Here is a 13,249-nt window from a genome sequence, read left to right on the forward strand (position 1 = left end):
TTTTTAAATGCATAATTAAATTATTATTGACTACTATGCTATCAAATACTAGAACTTATTCATTCTATTTTGTGTGTGTGTGTGTGGAGTCTTTATTTTCTTGTGAAGACTTCTGTATCATGTAAAACTTCTATTAAAAATTGTATGGTCCTTTTCTTTTGTTAATATGTCTTTTGTTGTAGGTGTCTTAGTCATGAACATAGAGATTTATGTAGAGATAAATCTTTTTTTCCCTACACCATACTAACAGAACAAAGAACCCCCATGTGCCCTCCACCCAGCTGAAGGTCTAAAATATTATCAAAATAGTAAAGAGATTTTGTAATTCTCTCTTATCCCATCTATCTTCCTCCTCCACAAAAGTGACTACTATTTGATATTCATCATTCCCCAAAATGTCTTTATACTATTTTGAGAGATGAATGCATGAATAGCTCCAATTAAAACTTCATGTTGGAGTCTTTCTCTTTGTGGTATAAATTTCTGGCATGTTTGCCTGGGTTCCCCCTACCTCTGGAGTTTTTTTTTTTTTCATGTTTTTTCTTTAAAATCTTTAGTTGGTAAATAAATATATATCTTCTTGCTATAACTCAACTCTAATATCCTTCAATTTTATTCTATCTTTTACTGGCATTATTTAATTTTGCTGCTTAAATTCCATTGACTTTCTCTTCCTATTTGGACCAGTTACTTCATATTTGGACAATTATTTTCTCATATAAATTTTTGTTTAGTTATAGTTTTACAAAAGGGATTTTGACATTTGCCAGGTATCCACTAAAATTCACCTTAGTTATTTGGTATTCTTTGTGCCCCACAAGGTGTATCTGTAACTCATAGTTAGGAATTTCCTTTCTTTCTCCGTCCCTCCCTTTGTCCCTCCCTCCCATTTTCCTTCCTTCCTCCCTCCCTCTCTCCTTCCTCCCTCCCTCCCTCTTTCCTTCCTCCCTCCCTTCTGCCCTCCCTCTCCTTCCCTCCCTCTCTCTCCTTCCCTTCCTTCCTCCCTCCCTCCCTCCCTTCTTTCCTTCCTTCTCTGTATTTTAAAGGTAGATCAAGAGGAGGAGATAAAAGCATACGCTCATTTGCAGTCTTGATCCGGAGGCGTCTTTAAGGTTTTCTGAAATAATTTCAGACTTACAGAAAAGATGTGAAAATAGTACAAAGAATTCTCAAATATCCTCCATCCAGATTCTCCAAATTAACTTCAATATTTTTACATTTATATTACTTTTTTCTGAAATGTTCGAAAGTTGTAGACAAGATATTCCTTTTTCTCTAAAGACTTCAGTCTACGCTGCCTATAAATAAAGGCATTTTTTAAATTAACACAGAACAATTATTAAAATCAGGAAATTAATTTTGATACAGTGCTTTAAACTATAGGTAGTTAAAATTGATCAATTGCCCAACCAATGTCTTTCTATTACAGAGGAAAACTTGTTTTCTTGTCTGAGGTCTAATTTATGATTGTATATTGCATTTGGCTGGTTGTCATGTCTCTGGTTTACTTCGAAATGCTCCTTAGATTTTTTTTTATAACCTTGATATATTGTTAATATAAGAGGTCAATTATTTGTAAAATACCCCTCAGTTTGGGTTTATGCAGTCTTTTTTCATTATTAGATTCAGGTTACCCATTTTTGGCAGGGATACATCAGAAATTCTGTTGTGGTCATATCAGGGAAACATTAAAATTCACATGGTGTCATTTGTCTCCTTACTGGTGCTAACTTTGATCACATGGTTAAGATGAGGTCGAGGTTTCTTAAAATTTATAAGGGGTTTTACAGAAAGGGTAATGAGTAGAGAAGTGACAGTTAGGGATGCAGAGCTGTAGCAAGTACTATGGGAATAAGGAGCTGAGGAAGTGAAGCCTGGAAAGATGGAGTCACAGGTTTAGACAGAGAGCGCTCGTCAACGCTCCTAAAGCACAGGCATGGGTGGAGAGCTCCATGGACCTATCAAGAAATTCCAGATGCCAAGCATATCCAGTCACCAAAGGAGGAACATGAGGAAGGAACTTGGGATGAGCTCTATAAGATCTTGTGTCCACAGCTTATTGTCTGTGGATCCACAGAAAGGTTCTTGTAGTAGGTCTGAGGTTGCTACTGTTCAGCAGAATGGGAACTATGTGGAAATAGGGAAAACTTTTTTTTTTTTGGTTTTAGGCTTCCTTTAAACATTAATTGACAACTATACTACTTATAATTGAATTAAAAGATGACATTCCTAGGGATAAATATAACAAAATGTGTGCAAAAATTATATACTGACAACTATAAATTATTGCTATGATATATTAAAGGAGACCTAAATAAACAGAGGGATATACCATAGTAATAAACTGAGAGACTCAATATTGTTGAGATGTCAATTATTTCAAAATTGATCTATAGTCAAATGCAATTCAAATAAGAATCCTAGAAGTCTTTTTTTTCTGTAGAAATTGACAAGCTCTTTCAAGTTCACAGAATAACCAAAATAATTTTCAAAAAAGAAAGCAAACTTATAGGAGTCAACTGTCACATTCCAAGACTTTATTTGTTGTTGTTAATGCTACATTAATTAATACAGGATGGGTTTTCTGTAAGCAGTGTAAGGAAGAAAAAGTAGTATTTTTTCCTCATCTGTCACAAGGTTCATGGCTGATACCTCTATAGCAAATGACAGATAAACAAGAGAAAAGCATAACAAATTTATTTCGATAAGGTTTTACAGGACATGAAAGTCTTCAGAAATGAAGACTCAAAGAAATGGGGAAAACTATGTATTTTGAATATGAATCAATGATACACATCTATGTATCTGAGTATGAGAAAAATCAACAGTCTTTTAGTATTTTGGGAAAGGTCAATTAATCTAATTGAATATCTATAAATGACATCTTTTGCTTTCAACAACGGGTCTTTAAGGTCAGCTAATTTATAGAGTGGTAATATATGCTTAGGTTTGATAAAGAGTGGATAGTCTCAGCTTTCTACATATGGCTAGCCAGTTTTCTCAGCACCATTTATTAAATAGGGAATCCTTTCCCCATTGCTTGTTTTTCTCAGGTTTGTCAAAGATCAGATAGTTGTAGATATGCGGCGTTATTTCTGAGGGCTCTGTTCTGTTCTATTGATCTATATCTCTGTTTTGGTACCAGTACCATGCTGTTTTGGTTACTGTAGCCTTGCAGCATAGTTTGAAGTCAGGGAGTTTGATGCCTCCAGCTTTGTTCTTTTGGCTTAGGATTGACTTGGTGATGCGGGCTCTTTTTTGGTTCCATATGAACTTTAAAGTAGTTTTTTCCAATTCTGGGAAGAAAACCATTGGTAGCTCGATGGGGATGGCATTGAATCTATAAATTACCTTAGGCAGTATGGCCATTTTCACGATATTGATTCTTCCTACCCATGAGCATGGAATGTTCTTCCATTTGTTTGTATCCTCTTTTATTTCATTGAGCAGTGGTTTGTAGTTCTCCTTGAAGAGGTCCTTCACGTCCCTTGTAAGTTGGATTCCTAAGTATTTTATTCTCTTTGAAGCAATTGTGAATGGGAGTTCACTCATGATTTGGCTCTCTGTTTGTCTGTTATTGGTGTATAAGAATGCTTGTGATTTTTGTACATTGATTTTGTATCCTGAGACTTTGCTGAAGTTGCTTATCAGCATAAGGAGATTTTGGGCTGAGACAATGGGGTTTTCTAGATATACAATCATGTCATCTGCAAACAGGGACAATTTGACTTCCTCTTTTCCTAATTGAATACTCTTTATTTCCTTCTCCTGCCTGATTGCCCTGGCCAGAACTTCCAACACTGTGTTGAATAGGAGTGGTGAGAGAGGGCATCCCTGTCTTGTGCCAGTTTTCAAAGGGAATGCTTCCAGTTTTTGCCCATCCAGTATGATATTGGCTGTGGGTCTGTCATAGATAGCTCTTATTATTTTGAGATATGTCCCATCAATACCTAATTTACTGAGAGTTTTTAGCATGAAGGGTTGTTGAATTTTGTCAAAGGCCTTTTCTGCATCTATTGAGATAATCATGTGGTTTTTGTCTTTGGTTCTGGATCCCTTCCTTACACCTTATACAAAAATCAATTCAAGATGGATTAAAGACTTAAACGTTAGACCTAAAACCATAAAAACCCTAGAAGAAAACCTAGACATTACCATTCAGGACATAGGCATGGGCAAGGACTTCATGTCTAAAACACCAAAAGCAATGGCAACAAAAGCCAAAGTTGACAAATGGGATCTAATTAAACTAAAGAGCTTCTGCACAGCAAAAGAAACTACCATCAGAGTGAACAGGCAACCTATAAAATGGGAGAAAATTTTTGCAACCTACTCATCTGACAAAGGGCTAATATCCAGAATCTACAATGAACTCAAACAAATTTACAAGAAAAAAACAAACAACACCATCAAAAAGTGGGTGAAGGATATGAACAGACACTTCTCAAAAGAAGACATTTATGCAGCCAAAAAACACATGAAAAAATGCTCACCATCACTGGCCATCAGAGAAATGCAAATCAAAACCACAATGAGGTACCATCTCATACCAGTTAGAATGGCGATCATTAAAAAGTCAGGAAACAACAGGTACTGGAGAGGATGTGGAGAAATAGGAACACTTTTACACTGTTGGTGGGACTGTAAACTAGTTCAACCATTGTGGAAGTCAGTGTGGCGATTCCTCAGGGATCTAGAACTAGAAATACCATTTGACCCAGCCATCCAATTACTGGGTATATACCCAAAGGATTATAAATCATGCTGCTATAAAGACACATGCACACGTATGTATATTGCGGCATTATTCTCAATAGCAAAGACTTGGAACCAACCCAAATGTCCAACAATGATAGACTGGATTAAGAAAATGTGTCACATATACACCATGGAATACTATGCAGCCATAAAAAAGGATGAGTTCATGTCCTTTGTAGGGACATGGATGAAATTGTAAATCATCATTCTCAGTAAACTATGGCAAGAACAAAAAACCAAACACCGCATATTCTCACTCATAGGTGGGAATTGAACAATGAGAACACATGGACACAGGAAGGGGAACATCACACTCTGGGGACTGTTGTGGGGTGGGGGGGGGGGATAGCATTGGGAGATATACCTAATGCTAGATGACGAGTTAGTGGGTGCAGCGCACCAGCATGGCACATGTATACATATGTAACTAACCTGCACATTGTGCCCATGTACCCTAAAACTTAAAGTATAAAAAAAAAAAAAGAGTGGATAGTCATGTAAAAGTGATTGGACAAAAGGGGGTATGGTGTAATGATAATTATCTGGGGAGAATTTAGCAAGACCTGTCTGTTCAGATTTTTCTTGGTGTTTTTGTGTTTTCATTCCTTTTCCCCAGTATAGGGTAAGATCTGTCACATAAGAGTTTCTAACCTACTTTCAAGGGAGGTAGATCAGATAATTTTTTAGGACCAGGTCTCACACAGAAAGTTGGGAGAAAGAGAGTGACTTTTCTGCTTCTCCTGCTTTCTAAATTTCCAAGGTGCTATATTTTGGAGTAGTGATTCCTGTACCCTCTCAACATAGACATACAGATCAGTGGAAGAAAACAGAAATTCCAAATATATATATATGGCGCCAATTGCCTTCAGCAAAGGTGTCCAGGCAAGTCAATGAGGAAACAAAATCAATTTTTTCTACACAAGATGCTGGAACAATTATATTTATGCAACAGTATAAACCCTACTGTTACTTTACATCATATATACAAGTTAACTGAAAATGAATCAAAGCCCTAATTATGACAGCAAAAATTATGAAATTTCTAGAAAAAACCATAGAAAAAAATCTTGATGGACTCGCAATAGGTAAAAACTTTTAAGTAGGATGTAAAAAACATGAATTTTTTAAATGATGAATTTATTTAACCAAAAGGGGATGATAATTCTATAGTACATTATTTTTATACCCCAAAAGTTTGAAGATTGTTCTATGAATTTCTGTCACCCAATTCCAAGGAGGAAAAAGTGAATCAATCCCATAAATTTTCCCTTATTTGTTGTTTAAATGCTAAATTATTTATAATAGGGTAAGTATTCTTAATAGAAAATTATTTTGTGAGCTTTACCATATTTGAGAAAAATAGTAATATCTCTAGTATCTGCATAATTTGGAAAGCTGGGATACAAGATTCCACTTACCCTTAAAATTTATTTTTTCCCAACATGTGACAAAGATTATAGTATTCAATCAGTTTGTTGCATAATTGAATTAATAACTTAAAAAATTAGGAGAACTTATGGGGGCAAATAATTAAAAAAATAGAATACATGTTATTTAAGTGAATAATACACAGAGAAATACATTTAAAAAAATCTGTTAGCAGATAATAAGAAAAATTATTTTTGCATATTTATAAAAGCTGCATGTTATCTTTTGTCTCTTTATGGTAAATGTGCATATTGGAAACATTTTTTAAATTATGAACTATAAAATATATTATAATTTATATTTCTCATTAGGTTTAATTAGAATACAATAATTTATATTTCTCATTAGGTTTAATTAGAATACAATAATTATGAAATAAAGTGAATAGAAGTATAGGCATATCTAAAATATAAAGAAGCGAATTTAATAAAGATATTTAAAAATAACATAATGTCATGTGTTTAAAACTATGCCAAATTACTTTCTGGGATTTTAATCACAGAACAAATTGATATAAAGACAGCGCTTGCCCTTCAAGAATTATAAATAGCATATGTTTTCATACTATTTTTAATTTTTTACGTTTGGCATTTACTTTAGTCTGACATTTAAGAAATCTGAATATGAGAAAAACAACAGTCTTAGTATTTTGGAAAAGGTCAATTAATCTAATTTAATATCTATAAATTGCATCTTTTGCTTTCAAAAATGGGTCTTTAAAGTCAGCTAGTTTATTGAGTGGTAAATGATGAACCTATCCTAAAAAATACCATCTTTATAGAAAATTCTACGATTGTTTTAATTCTCTTCGAATGCACAAAATAAGAAGTAGATAATGTCCATGAGCCTGTTAAGTCCCACTTTTGTTGTGACATGTTAGGGTCAATTTTAGTGGAAAATATACAAAAGGTTAGATTAATTCTGTTTTACAGTGACCTTCTTGAAATGAGAGCCCAAGGAGAGCTGTGCATATTACTCCACTGACCAAGTGTAAAAGATTGCGTTGAAAGACTGTATTTACAAAAATTACCCATACGCGGTGGCACGGGACTTGTAATCCCAGCTACTTGGGAGGCTGAGGCTGGAGAATTGCTTGAACTCAGGAGGCAGAGGTTGCAATGAGCTGAGATCGTGCCAGTGCACCCCAGCCTGGGTGACAGAGCAAGACTCTGCCTCAAAAAAAAAAAAAAAAAAAAAGAAAGGACAATATTTAGTAGGCTAAATTAAAAAAAAAATCTGTACAGGACCCCTGCTTAGTTCTAGAATACATTACCTAAAGGTTTGTGCTCAGCTAGCTTATAACCTAGCAGAATGACAGACATACTAATTTAATTGTAATTTAATATGACAAAGAATATAATAAATTTAGCCAGATACTTGCTTGAGATGCAGAAGCTAGTAGTCACCAAGTTTTAGAACCAAAATGCAAGTGAGATTGCTCTACGTCTATAAATTACTTTCTTTCAGACATGGCCTTTATGTAAACAGAATTATAGGCAAAGTAAACATAGCCAAAAGAAATCTTTTACCCACTTCCTCTCAATCAATGATTTCTCCTCCTACTTAGAATAAAATTCAAAGTTATTGCCATGCCTTTTGAGGGAAACATAATCTGGCCCTGGCTATGGGTCCAGCTTCCCCTTCCTCCACTCTCGTTATGCTGTGTTCTGGCCACACTGGCCTCCGGCTGTTTCTCAGATAAGCCAACACTTTGTTATGACAGGCATTTTCATGTGCTGCTCCCCCTGCCTAGAATATTCCTCACCCAGCTGTGTGCATCACTTATTTCTTCACTTCAGCTGCTTCTTGCTCAAAGTCACCTCCTCAGAATGCCTTCCAGAAGCATCCTCCAGAATAGCAACCTTCCCTTGCATTTCCCATTAGTCCTCTTTCCATGCTACAATTTTCTTTACACTTATAATTTGTTTTTGATTAAAACAATTCTATTTATTATTATTACATCATTAATACAGAGATGTTAATAGAAAAATGGAAATGATCAAATGTACACTTAGATACACTTGATATACTATCTGTTTATATGCCTGTTTATTAATGATCTCCTCATTCAAATGCCAGTTCCTGTGTGCAAGAGCTTTTCACATTTTATTCAATGTTTATTAATTAATATGGTTGCATTTAATACTTTATTTAAAATAGGGTCTGGACTTATTAGAAATGTAATAAATATATAATTAAGTAATGATTGAGACGCATCACCTTGTCATCTGTCCTCATGGTAAATCATTAGGGGTTATCTTAGACCTAGTGCCTCAAAAGAGTCAGAAAGACTTGTGTATATATCCCTCTTCTATGTCCCAGATATCTACTATAATTTAATACTTCTACTGGGATACTGATTCGTTGTCAGCAGCCTTAGATATGTGAAGCTCTAAGTCTTGTTAGCACTGACATCATCTGGAATTACCAACTAATTTGGCTTTGTTTTGACATCATTTCTGGTAACGTATTCCATTTCATTCTCATATAAAGTATTATTCACTGTCTCCATGTCAAATCTTCCTACAAATTTAGGCCAAAAAAAGAAACTCTTAAATGCTAATTAAGAGATAAATTGACATAGTGAAGCAACATGTGGAAAATGTGAATGCTCAAGCCCAAGAATGTAACTTACGACAGTTAAGGACAAAAAGGAGGGAAAAAAAGGAGCACCTGAAGAGAACTGCCCAGTTCAGGATTAACTAGAAATGAACAGTGCACAAATCAACAATGTACAATTTTCCCTGTACTGAGAAAGGAAGTTAAATTGCGTCCACAGTAATAGGCTGAAGAAAAGATCTGGAACTGACCTTTAAAAGCAGACTACAAAATATTTCAATTAGTTTCTAATGTCACCAAAGCAACAAACATTTTGCACTGAATTATGTAAGATGACAACTCATTAACAGTTGACTGCTTGAATCAATGGCAATAATTTCCACTCTATTTTTGTATAAACTAATTGTGAGTGATTATAAAATCTATAATGAGTTTGAGAGTAAGGTTGGCTAAAAGTTATTTCTCATTATGTTTAAAGTGATGTGGGAGAGTTGATCAGCAAAGCTGGTTCCATTATATAGGGGACATTTGTAAACTCACATTTATTAATCCTAATAGGCTGATCATAATATTTTTTAAATCATTCAGCTTCAAAATTAGGAATCTGCTTAGAGCACGGCATATATATAGATACATAGATATTATATATGTGTCATATATATAAATATGTCTATAAATCTCTCATATGTATAGGAGATACATATATAGGAGATATATATATGTAGGCTGTGCTCTAAGCAGATATCTAAGCAGATACATATATATATGAGATATATATGCAGGAAATATATATATAGCTATATATAGGATATATATATAGGATATATATAGCTATATATATAAGATATATATGTAGGATAGCTATATATATATAGGATAGCTATATGTAGGATATATATATAGCTATATATATATAGGATATATATATAGAGATATATATATAGGATATATATAGAGATATGTATAGGATATATAGAGAGATATATATAGGATATATATAGAGAGATATATATAGGATATATATAGAGAGATATATATATATAGGATATATATAGAGAGATATATATATAGGATATATATATAGAGAGAGATATATATATAGGATATATATATAGAGAGAGATATATATATAGGATATATATATAGAGAGAGATATATAGGATATATATATAGAGAGATATATATAGGATATATATAGAGAGAGATATATATAGGATACATATAGAGAGAGATATATATAGGATATATATATAGAGAGATATATATAGGATATATATAGAGAGATATATATATATCTGGATATACATAGATATATATATATCTCTATGTATATCCAGATATATATATATTGGATATATATCCTATATATATATCCGGATAGATATATATCCGATATATATATAGATATATGTTTATCGGATATATATAGAGATATATATATATATATCCGATATATATATATATCTCCTACCTTTATAGATGTAGTACAATGATTCTATCAAGTCAAATTGAAAAGTTGATGAAGAAAAATAAACTCAAAATTACTGGCAAGTTGTGTGATATCTAAAAAACTAAAAAGCTTTTTTTGCAGTAATATAAAACAATATTTACAAAGAGTTTCAATTGTCAATGTACTAGGGTGTTAACATATGTTAACACCATAGAAGCAGTATGGTGTAACAAATATAATTTACATTTTATCTGGGATCAAATTAAGAAATCTTCTGTCTGGCATTTACTGTCTCTGGCAAGTTCAAATGCTTTTGGAAACTTAGTTTGCTTATATGTAAAACAGGGGTGTGTGTGTGTGTGTGTGTGTGTGTGTGTGTGTGTGTATGAGATATACATATATCATATTTTTGTGTATATATGGGTATCTATCTACTATGATATATTTTTCGAGAATAGGATGTGGAAAGTACTGGGCAATGAGTAGACCCTGAATTAAAGAAAGCTAATATCACCACAGTACTAATAGTTCAAGTATTCTAAATGAAAGCAAAAAGATACTGGAGTATCCATCAAACTAGTTAGTTCCTGTGTTTCCCCTTTTTTTTTTTTTAAAGAAACAAAAGTGTAAATCTTTCTCCTTAAAAGAGATATCTTTATTATTTTAAAGGTATTTTTAAAAATAAAATTTACTGAGATACAGTTCCATCCAAAATATGCATTCATTTTGAATGTACTTTTTGATATGTTTTAACAAATTTATATACATTTATGTAGACAACTACCACAATCAAAATACAGAATATATGCATGACATAAAAATGTTCTCTTGTACCCCCTCCAATCAATCTTTCTTCTATTTCCCCATCTCCCAGAACAGGTAACCACTGATCTACTATTATCTAGTATATATTAAATTCTTATTTTCTGGAATTTCACATAAATGAAATCATATAATATATACTCTTATGACTGGCTTCTTTCACTTAACATATTTTTGAGATTACTCATAGTTCTTTTTCTTACCTTATTCCACTGGTTACAACCTCCAGCGAGGTGCTTAGTTGAAGTGGAAGAACCTGCCTTCGCTTATTTGCAATATTAGGAGTAAAGAACCCTGTCTTTAATCATTAAGTGATATTAAACGTAGATTTTCGATAGATACCTGTTTTCAAGTTGAGGAAGTTCCCTTCATTTTCTCATTTATGGGCAGAATTTATTATAAGTGTGTTTTGAATTTTGTCAAGTTTTTTTTCAGCATCTATTAAGATAGTGAAATTGATTTTCCTTTTAGTTTGTTAATATGATGCAACACTGATTTTAATTCTTGGGAAACTCACAAGTAATGAATTAATGTTCTATCTTTATCAGTTTTTTAGAAAAATAACTTCAGCTATTTTAGTGTGTGTGTTTGTGTGTGTGTGCATCTATGTACATGGTGTGTTTGTGTGTTTAGAGGTATCTCACTGTGATTTTAATTTACTTGTTTCTCGTTTGCTTAAAAAATAAGCAATTTTTTTGAGGAGTATACTGGCCATTCCTATACCTTCCTTTACGAGGTGCCTGTTGAGTCTTTACCATTTAAAAAATTGGGTTGCCTTTTTATTGTAGTTGTAGGAGTTAATTACATATCCTGAATGCTAGTCTGCTGTTGAATACATATGTTACAAATACATTCTTCCAGTTCATGGCTTTTCTGTTAATGTTGTTTTTCTTTTTTCTTTTAAAGAGGCTTATTCTGAGTGACCAAGGGCTGGTGAACAGCCTCAGGAGGTCCTGAGTAAGTAGTCCTGAAGTAGTCGGGTTAGTTTGGTTTTATACATTTTAGGGAGACAAGAGTTAAAGCAAAGACATAAATCAATACATTGAAGGTGTACATTGGTTCAGCCCAAAAAGGTGGGGCATCTTGAAGTGAAGGTGGGTTATATAAGTCATAGGTGGATTTTAGGGATTCTTTACTTGATAATTGGTTGAGAAAGTTTGTTTAAAGATGTGAAGTCAAAAAGCAGAAACGCTTGAGTCAAGATAAGGGGGCTGTGGGGGCCAAGGCCCTTATTACCTGTGGATGAAGCCTCATCTGCAGGTGAGCAGGCAGCAGCCCTCAGAGGGAACAAATGGCAAATCTCTCTTCAGATCTTAAAGGTGTCAGACTCTCAGTTAATCTCTCACAGATCTGGGTAAGGCCTAGAAAAGAAAAGCACGGCTACATTAATAGAGGTTCTCTACAGATGCAAATTTCTCCTGCAAAAGACAGTTTTGCAGGGCCATTTCAAAATATGTCAAAGAAATACATGAATATTTTGGGGTAAAATATGTTGGTTTCCTTCAGGGTCTACTATCTGTCATGTGATGCTATAGCAGAGTCAGGTCAGAAAGTAGACCATATTATACTGCATTCATTAAAAAACCCATTTCAGGAGATTTTACAGTTTGCAGGGAATGACTTAACCCTTTCCTTGCATGGCCTTAGGTCTTGTTTATAATTTGATGTCCTATAGCCACAAAGAGTCTGTTTTGTCAGTCTTAGGATCTCTACTTTAACCTAATGCTGGTCAGTGATGCCTGTACTCCAAAAGGGAGAGGGTATAACTAGGCATATCTTCTTCCCTTCTGTCCTGGAGAGGAACTCTGTTTTTCAGGTTTCTCTAGGTTCCCTGTGGCCAAGAGGGGGTCTGTTCAGTCAGCTGGGGAGGATAGGTTTAGGATTTTATTTTTGGTTTGCAACAGCCAGAACTTCAGAAATAGTTTAGAACATTTACACTATCTTCAGCATTTTACTTTTACTATATGCCAAGGAAAAACATAACTTGAGATTTAATTTACCAAAAAGAGTGGTCCAGGTGGTAAACTAGGTATTAAAGACAGTTTTGCAGCAAACTCTTTTATAGGATTGTCAGCTTCAAATTACAGAGCTTCAGATGAGTCAATAAACAGGAGAGGAAGTCATTGAGAGAATTATAATAGTGGAACCTGGAGACCACCACACTGCAAAGGGCATAATGGAGCCAGCGTGCTCAGGGACGGTTGGGATGACTCCCAGTGTGCTTCGCCATTG

General features: G+C 33.9%; 1 annotated feature.

Annotated features, from left to right (window-relative positions):
* Window positions 7,785–7,985: a silencer, noted in NCBI's record as "peak5147 fragment used in MPRA reporter construct". NCBI's record gives its function as "represses an SCP1 promoter by STARR-seq MPRAs in K562 erythroleukemia cells {active_cell/tissue: K562}" and the evidence as "EXISTENCE:reporter gene assay evidence [ECO:0000049][PMID:32103011]".

The sequence above is a fragment of the Homo sapiens genome, chromosome 4 (assembly GCF_000001405.40).
Source record: "Homo sapiens chromosome 4, GRCh38.p14 Primary Assembly".
Lineage (NCBI taxonomy): Eukaryota > Metazoa > Chordata > Mammalia > Primates > Hominidae > Homo > Homo sapiens.